Source organism: Homo sapiens, chromosome 21 (assembly GCF_000001405.40).
Source record: "Homo sapiens chromosome 21, GRCh38.p14 Primary Assembly".
In the NCBI taxonomy this organism is placed as follows: Eukaryota; Metazoa; Chordata; class Mammalia; order Primates; family Hominidae; genus Homo; species Homo sapiens.
In genome coordinates this window covers 21,788,495-21,798,405 of record NC_000021.9, presented here as the reverse complement: position 1 = coordinate 21,798,405, position 9,911 = coordinate 21,788,495, and the positions used below count along the sequence as shown (strand labels likewise).

General features: G+C 35.6%; 1 long non-coding RNA gene across 1 annotated transcript in view; it reads right to left on the bottom strand.

Moving 5' to 3' along the window:
* Nucleotides 1-990: 990 nt before the first annotated feature.
* LINC01425 (long intergenic non-protein coding RNA 1425) overlaps nt 991-9,911 on the bottom strand; it is a 50,431-nt gene continuing 41,510 nt past the window's right edge. The window contains exon 5 of the long non-coding RNA NR_109958.1: nt 991-1,227. This is a non-coding gene — a long non-coding RNA (long intergenic non-protein coding RNA 1425). The remainder of the gene's footprint in view (nt 1,228-9,911) is intronic.

Below are 9,911 nucleotides of genomic sequence, written 5' to 3'. Positions count from 1 at the left end.
CCTCTAATTAGCTGTAATGTTTTCACGGAATATGATCTGTCAATTTGTATGATATTACATCAAACTTTTAAATACTTTATAATCATTTATCCCTGCAAATATTCATTTTCATAAGTTTTAAAACATAACATCATAAAAGCTGTTTCAAAGCAGGTAAAAATATGTGTGACTATGCCATGGAAAAATTAATAACAAGTAACTGGCGGATCTTGTACTTTGAGACCCAAATGAAACTGACCATATAGTGTACGGAAGAAGTCTTGAATAACTCCAGTTGTCTCAGAATTGATATTTAGAGCACTAGAATAGATAATATATTAATATATGTCTATAATATACACTGATCCATACATGTATACATATATCTATACATGTATGTATCTATTTAACTATTTCATAAGCTGATATTCCCAATTTAAATTCCACACTAGAAGATCTGTTCTATTCCCCAACTCCTTTTTATGTGGTTACTCCCTCTTCCAGCAGTGCAACAATTGTCCACAATACATAATCTCATTTGTCAGTCTTAGATTACATTGAAAGCAGTTCTAAAAGTACCAATCCATGCCAATACAAAAATATTGCTAATGAGGTTACAGAACCTTTCAGAAAGTCTTTTTTGTCTTTACACTGAAGGTATTATAGTCAAAATACTGTGCTAATGTATTTGCAAGTTATTTGGATTCCTTCTTTGCTCCAACCTTCAGTTTGGTTGCATTTTTCCAATACGTTGAATGGAAATACTGTTAGGTTCATTTGTTTGTTGGTTTGTTTTTCATTTTAAAGATGTTTCCCTCAAACTTCTTAATTTTATTTTATTAATTATGTAAAATATTAACATGGGTCCAAAAGTAAAACCTATACCAAAAAGGGGAGTCTGAGAAGCTCACTCTTTCTTTAACACCGTTTCTCCCCATTTCCATTTCTATGTATGAATAGATATATTAGTTTCCCAAGACTGCCATAAGAAAACAACAGAAGCAGCATGGCTTGAAACAAAGGAAATTTATTCTTTAATGGTTCTGCAGCCTAGAAGTCTGAAATTAAAGTGTCAGCAGGGCCATGCTCCCTTTGAAAGACCAATCCAGGGACGAATCCTTGCTTGTTTCTTCTAGCTCCTGGTGGTTTCCTCATTCTTGGGCTTGTGGCAGTACAACTCCAATCTTTGCCTTTGTCTTTCTATGGCCTTCTTCCCTCTGTGTGTCTGTGTCTCTAAGTCTTCTTCTCCTAAAAAAAAAGTAAACACACAAAAATAAAAGAACCTCTACTCTACTACTCTGCTACTACTCTATACTACTCTAAAAAGTTATAGCAAAAATAAGGACTTAAGGCCTACTCTAATCCAATATGACTTCATCTTAACGTGACCGTATGTACAAAGACCTTATTTTCAAATAAGATGACATTCATAGGTTTACAGTAGACATGAATTTTGGGGGACACTATTCAACCCACTAATATGGGCAATATCATTAGTTTTAGATGTATCATTCCTGGCTTTTGTTTTGCAAAAATAAGCAAATATATGTATATTTCCTATTACTCCTCTTTCTTTTACACATATGATAGCACACTATATATACTCTATAAGGTTTTTTTTCCACTTAACATTGTATTCCTGTTTCTCCACTATTGGCAAAACAGATCTCCCTCAGTTTTTGTTTTCTTCTTTTTTTTTGGAGACAGAGTCTCTCTTTGTCGCCCAGGCTGGAGTGCAGTGGCGCGATCTCGGCTCACTGCAAGCTCTCCCCTCCCGGGTTCACACCATTCTCCTGCCTCAGCCTCCCGAGTAGCTGGGACTACAGGTGCCTGCCACCATGGGTAATTTTTTGTATTTTTGGCAGAGAGGGGGTTTCACTGTATTAGCCAGGATGGTCTCAATCTCCTGACCTTGTGATCCACCTGCCTCGGCCTCCCAAAGTTTTCTTAAATCAGAAACATAGATTTCAGTGTGTAATTCTAATAGTGTATTCAGTCAATCTCTTATGTTTATGCATGCATCTTCACCAAACATCTTGCTATTAAAAACAATGAACAACCTGTTGCAGGTGCATTTTCATATTGTTGGAAATGTGTCTTTAAACTCCAAAAAATGAAATTGCTTAATTCAAATGTAAATACACATTTGTTTTAATATATACTGAAACATTTTCTTCCTTAACTTTTTAAAAGCTATACCAATTTACATTTCTATCAGCTATGTTTGAGTGTTCTTATTTCTTTCTCTGTAGCTCTTTCTTTCTCTCTCTGTATATATCTGTTTTATACATACAATATACAGGTTAATAAATTTATAAATTTTATTAAATTATATTCAGTATATATCACATTTATTATAATTTTTTTAATATTTTGACACTTCCAAGGATATTTTAATAAATACACCATTTTATATCTAATAAATCAGAGCCACAGAAAGATATGGACATATAACTATTTTAGGCAACTAATGATTTTCTCCATTGTACAGGTCCTATATGCCTAAGTATGAATTTTTTTATACATAGTAATGTAAGAATAATTTTTCATTTTCACAATTTTTAGTTTTTCTATCTTTTCCCATGTAATTAATTGGTCTCTGGAGCCAAGTCAACTTTATCCCATGTTAAAAACATGAAAACATGGTTTTTTACATGACTTGAGAAACTAAGAAATACTAAAAAAGCACTAAATATCATCTAGTAGATTTTCTAGATGTTCCTATTTTCAAACTAATGCAAGGAATGTTCTTACAACAAGAATCACATAGGCAAAAACCAATGCTATTTAAATAATTCAAATGTTTTCTATAGAAGCATGCTTCCCATATTGATTATTAGGGACAATTTGTTTATGTGTAATGAGCTTGAGATAAATACTGAATCTAACAGATTTTTTTAGCTTTCTTGTTTTGCAGGCTCTTGGAAGGATATAATAATAATAAGATTAAGTTGCCATTGGGGAATAGTAGTAATTTCTTTGTGTATTTGTTGGTTGTTTATTTTTTTCTATTGTTGTATTTTGTTTTGTATTTAGTCCAATAGCAAAAAGAGAATAAAAACACGATAGTTTTTAGGACAGAGTAATGATAATTGTTACTATTGATTGAGTGTTTATAACATGTTTGATCTCTTGCTAAGTGCAGCACCTACATTAATTTTTATTTCACACAAAACTCCCATTTTGTAGTAAATAAAACAGATTTAATGAAGATAAATCACTTATTACTTCCAAATCACTTAGCTAGTCATTGGTGATATCAAGCATATCACTCAGTGTTCAGAGAACCAGAAATAGATAAATCAATAGAGATTTGACCTCATGCAGTATTTTCAGAGGCTTGACCATACGCAAACTGGTTAAGTAGTATCTGTAAATCTTTTGTCTTTGTATTTGATGTTGGATCTTGAAGTACACAGGACACGGGCAGCAGGGAAGGAGGGATAGGTGTTAGGTGGGTGAGAGCAAGCAGTAAGTGAAACCCAAAAGCGCAAGCTGTAGCAAATGAGAACAGGCTAAACGCTAGGTCAGTTGTTACTGCCTCTGAACCTCATTGGTATGGGTGTTCTGCATAAGCCAGACCTAACACACACAACTGACATAGGAGTTTATGAAGCCAAAAGAGGAACAAAAAGAAGGTGGGACATTTGCAGGCTTGGCCACTGCCTCAAAGTAAGGAAACAAGCAAGTGAGTGACACAGTGGAGAGCTACAGAATGGCTGCCCCTTCACTTTCACCCTCTGAATCTCTCCCAACAGTCTCTTCTGTGATCCAATTAGCCAGAAACATACAGAAAAGGAAATAATAAAAAACGTATTTCAGTGTAGCTACATTGACACATTACAAAAGTACATGAAGATTCAGTCGCAGAGTTTTCTATTTTCAAAATCTGTGTTCTCAAGTCCAGTGCTCTGTGGTTATCTATCATCGCAGGAAGTTTAAAGGCTTTTCTCCATGATTTCTGACTGTAAGGGGAGGAGAAGCTGCCCATGTCCAGGCAATTGAAGAAAACACATTCTCAAAGAAATGATGCCTCACGGGAGTTAGCAAATCCTAACACTGTGCTTAGCACAATTGCTTGGAAAAAGTTAGGCACTCGGTAAGTTCATTTTAAATAGATGACCACTTCAAGAAAGGTGGAGAGAGGGGGCGGAAACACAAGTCGCAATGGCTACAAAAGCAGGGCCCAGGGTGCCAGAAACTTGGTGGGCCTGAGGAACCAAGAGAATGCCGGAAACCAAATCCCCTAAAATCACAGCTTAAAGTCTGGTAATTTAGCTACTGGGTTTTCACATGATACTTGTGATCTAGTAAATAGATGTTCTTTTTATTCTTTCCAGTTTTTTCCCCTAAATTTTTATATTAACAGGGCTATTTACCAAGTGTTCTGTGGATTTAGATTTTTCTACATTATTCACTAAAACATTTTATTATTTGTTTCCTACTATCATCCACATGCACAGATTTAAAAACTACTCAGATCTGTTAAGAAAGTACTTATATTCAGCCAGGTGTGGTGGCTCAGGCCTGTAATCCCAGCACTTTGGGAGGACAAGACGGGTGGATCACCTGAGGTCATGAGTTCGAGACCAGTCTGGCCAAATGGTGAAATACCATCTCTACTAAATATACAAAAATTAGCCAGGCGTGGTGGCGCACACCTGTGATCCCAGCTACTTGGGAAGCTGAGGCAGGAGAATCGCTGGAACCTGGGAGGCGGAGGTTGCAGTGAGCCGAGACTGAGCCATTGTACTCTAGCCTGGGCGACAAGAGCAAAACTCTGTCTCAACAAAAAAAAAAAAAAGAAAAAAAAGAAAGTACTTATATTCAGTAAACAGCCTGAATTCCAACAAGTGTCCTTTAAATCTATTGTTTTGATAGCAATGAAAGGTATATTCTGAAGAATTTGAATGAACTATTATCTTTGAAGAGTATGTTTTTTTTTTTTTTAATTTTAAGCATGTGTTAGTTTTTGTTTATCTTCTTTTATTGGCAAATAATAATTGTACATATTTCTGGGGTATTAGTGATGTTTCAATACGCATAATGTATAGTGAGAAGATAAGGATTAACTTACATATCTATCAGCTTAAACTTTTATCATTTATTTGTGTTAGGGATATTCAATATCCTCCTTCTAGCTATCTTAAAACTATATAATATATTTTTGTTAACTATAGTCATCCTGCAATGGTATACAGCAATAGAACTTATTCTTCCTATCTGGTTGTTAGAGATAATTTGTTTAATAAATTATTAAGACCATAATTTTCTGAACTATATTTTTGAGCAAGCACTTTTTAAAAATAGGACAAATATTATAGTTAATCCAAAGGGATTTTTAAGTGTAAAGGAAAAATGATAATTCGTACTTTTTTGTTTTTAATGTTAGATTAGTAGTAGATTAGATTAGATGGTAGTAATAAATTAGATTAGGGCAGAGGATATGATCAAAGACAATGAAGTGTTCTAACATAAAATCACAAAATACTGTTTTATTTAGGATTTCAGTCTTGATGAAGCATAAAAGCAATTTGCATCACATAAAAGTTATTTAAAAAATAAATAGTGATAAGTGGTGGGTGAAAATGGAAATCTATAAATTTGTGAGCAATAGAGTTATTAATGGAAGGAGCCTATATGATCAACAGAATATCATACGCCCCAGTTAGAGTTCATGCAGGTGAAATGTGAGAATTAGTTTTGCAAAAAGCACAAAGAAAATAAATGAAAAGCTAGTCATTTTTTTAAAACCTTAAATACTATAGAGCATTCTATTCATTAGCCTTTGAAGTTTCCTGTTTTTCCATTGATTATTCAGTATAATTATAACCATGCATTCTAACAAGGTCACCTAGGACATAGAGAGCTTGAGTTCAGTTTTGGAGCCTCACTCCAAAATGCAAATGAGTGCAGTTACTTAAGAAAATAATTCTTGAGCCAATTAACGTACTCCTATTCTTTCCTTTATGATGCAAATTGCCATTAAAAAGCAGTGCAAAATTTTACTGAACATCACTTAATGAATTGGGAAAGTTCATACCATCTAACTTTAAGATGTAGAGGGATTGCCGTTATAAATATTTCCAGCATTCTGAATTGTACCTTCAACATTTCTCAACAAATGAAACATATAAACCAGTTATAACTGCCAAGGTACCTCATTATATTTAATATGTAAACATTCTGTGATATAGAATAATGGCATGATTACTCATAAACACACATATGTGCACACACTACACAACATCTTTAGTTGCCAACCTTGTGGTACTACCTCTTCATTCACCAGGAACTTACAGATCTACTTTAAAGACTTTCTCACTTCAACTGTTGTCACTATTCTGATTAATATCAAACTCATGTGGGCTGCCTGCTTAATATTGGGGCTTTAACTTTATATAAGAAACTGAAACCCTTCCCATCCCTTAACTTTTATTATTTCCTGGAATATTTTATCCCCTGAAATCTCACTTTACTTTCACCACAGCCTAAACCATATATTCAATAATATGCGTGACTATCGCCACCATCATTGATTCTCTGGGTTGTTTTTATCTACCATCTACTCCCTAACTCACCCCCATCTTCTTTGAGATCATTTTCCTTTATCCTACATCTCCTTACCCAGTACACAATATTTGCTGGTGGAAAAAAAATAATACCAACACGGTAAACGTATTGTTGCCATTTCAAATACAATGTTGCCAAATACAAATCTAATTGTTTCATGTCTTTTACCTTATTTTATTTCTCAGCTGCATTCCACATGGTTAATCTTCTTTTTCTGGAAACATTTTCTTTTTCTCCATGGCAGATATTTTTTTGGTTTTTCTTGCTACTATACTGGATTTTACTCCTCAATCATCTTTGCGAACTCCTTCTCCACCACTTTGCCTCTAAACACAGAGGAGCTCTTTGGTCTTTTTCTGGATTTTCCTCTTTTTTTCTATCTCCATTCAGCTTTTTAATTTATTTATTCACTTGTCTATATAGCTTCAAATTCAATGATGTTGTGGGTGTTTTTGATACAGAAGAAAATATTGTCCCCAATTATTCACTGACCCTTCCTGTAAGAAGATGATGGCCCTCCCAAAACATCTGGATTATCAGGACTTGCTTTAACCAATGGAGGGTGATCAGACATGATATATGCCATGTTTAAATCATCTAAGTAGAAGTTTTAAACCATCTTGTGCTTTTGCAATTCTATTTTCTTTTTCTTTTCTCCTTTTCCATGAGAATGTCTTATCTCAGAGGGAAGCATTTCTGCAACCTGCATTCAAAACTAAAGAAGACAGGTGGCATAATTATAGTCGAACTTCAGCTGACAAGTAATTGAGCAAGAAAAAATTTTACATTTGGATGCCACAGAGATCTGGAGTTATAAGCACCCCTACTTATAATTTTCCAAAAGAATTACTCACACTTAGAATAAAATTCAAACTACTTACTTTTTCTAAAAAAAAAAAAAAAAAAAAAGTCCTGTATCATTTGATACTTGCCTGATTACCTAACCTCTTCTACTATTTTCCTTGCTTCTCTCAGGATGTTTAAGCATCTTGATTTTTTTTCTCACTTTCTCTATGGGTCATTGTACTGTCTATTACCTTATTACAGCTGTTTGGAATGATCTGTTCTGATTTTTGTATATCTTGCTCCTCTTTTTTTTCCTTTAGGTCTTGGAATAAATGACATTTGAGATAGACTGTTAAGAAAAAAAATTTTTTTAAACCCACTAATTTTTCACCTCCTTTTATACACTCTTTTTTATTTTTTGAGACAGAGTCTTGCTCTGTCGCCCAGGCTGGGGCGCAGTGGCGCGATCTCGGCTCACTGCAAGCTCAGCCTCCCGGTTTCACGCCTTTCTCCTGCCTCAGCCTCCCGAGTAGCTGGGACTACAGGTGCCTGCCACCACGCCCAGCTAATTTTTTGTATTTTTAGTAGAGAGGGGTTTCATCGTGTTAGCCAGGATGGTCTCGATCTCCTGACCTCGTGATCCACCCGTCTCGGCCTCCCAAAGGGCTGCGATTACAAGCGTCAGCCACTGGGCCCGGCCTTTTTTTTGTTTTGTTTTTTAGACGGAGTCTCGTTCTGTCATCAGGCTGAAGTGCAGTGGTGTAATCTTGGCTCACTGCAACCTCTGTCTCCCGGGTTCAAATGATTCTCCTGCCTCAGCCTCCTGAGTAGCTGAGACTACAGGTGCATACCACCACGCCCAGCTAATTTTTGTGTTTTTAGTAGAGATGGGGTTTCACCATGTTGGCCAGGATGGTCTCGATCTCTTGACCTCTTGATCTGCCCACCTCAGCCTCCCAAAGTGCTGGGATTACAGGTGTGAGCCAAAGTGCCCAGGTTTTACTTACTCTTGGCTCACTGCAACCTCCGCCTCCCGGGTTCAAATGATTCTCCTGCCTCAGCCTCCCGAGTAGCTGAGACTACAGGTGCATACCACCACGCCCAGCTAATTTTTGTGTTTTTCGTAGAGATGGGGTTTCACCATGTTGGCCAGGATGGTCTCGATCTCTTGACCTCTTGATCTGCCCACCTCAGCCTCCCAGAGTGCTGGGATTACAGGCGTGAGCCAAAGTGCCCAGGTTTTACTTACTCTGTTTGTGCAAGCAGAATCTTTAGAATCATGCCATTATCCTGGGCACAAATCTGCTACAAGCTTCAATTTCCTCTGAGTCTCAGTTTCAGTTATTCCCTTCCAGGCTTAGTCCCATGGGTAAAGCTCTGCTTAGGATTAAGTTTCCTTGTATAACCCTTTCATTTTTTCTATAACATTTCCGTTCCTTCTCTAGTCCAAGGTCAAGGTACATTCTCTTCTTATCATCTAAATCTTTGCAAATGCACATTAATTGGATTCAAATCACCATTCTTACTCTTAACCTGTATGTACATATCAAAGGTGAAAATGAAGGTCAAGTAAAGAAATTTTCCCTGATAGAATACTGTTAACCAATTCAGCCACTCCAAATATTAGGGCAGGCTTATCCCTTAACACATTACCCATTTTAACTAAATGTCTCCCACTACCAAGTCTTGCTGAAAACTTACAGTTATGTGTATTGGAAAACACAGCTACTCTCAGTATTTCTAAAAATACAATGTGTGACTCATCTGCGACAGAATCACCTGGATGCTTGCTAAGAATGCAAAGTCCTGATTCACATCTCAGAAGTACTTCATGAGAATCACAAAGATTAGGGAGAAGGAATTTGATTCTTATGTGCTTTAAAAATAAATACATTTAAGGTGTAATAAGAATAAGTGCTCAAATAGGTTTACATAATGCAACGAACCCACTGAAAATTACCCATCTATTTCTCTTTGTTTTCATGTGGTAGCAATAATCCTCTTCTCTCCTTCAGGATGGACCAATATCTTGTCCTATCAGAAATGCTATTCATTTGTTAAGAATGCAATAACCAAAGAGTATGGATATGTAGTAAATCTTTCCAGAAGTTAGCCAGACATTAGAGCATAATATCACATTGATGTTGTTCCAAGAAATTTGGAAATTTTAGACACTACTGGTTACATCTGAATAATTCAGTTTGGCTAATGTAAGAGTTCTTATTATTAGCCTACTTGGTTAGCTTCAAGAAACTGACCTTGGCTTACTTCCCAGGACTTTATGTTTTAGAAAGAGAATTAATTCATAAACTTATTCTGAACTAGCCTGTGTCTGAAGTAACCTTTAAAGTAGTTAAGCAACTATGCACTTTCTTAAACCATTAGGTTAATTAATCTATGAAGATTACTAAATGGTTAATATTTTAAAATACATTTTTTACAAAATTTCTGGACAATAATAAACTTTTAGGCATTATACACTAAGAAAAATATTTTTTTCATTTCATTTAATTAAATTCTAAGTATTTTATGCATCCCTGGTAAAAAAATAGTCCAAACATTGTTCAACAGTG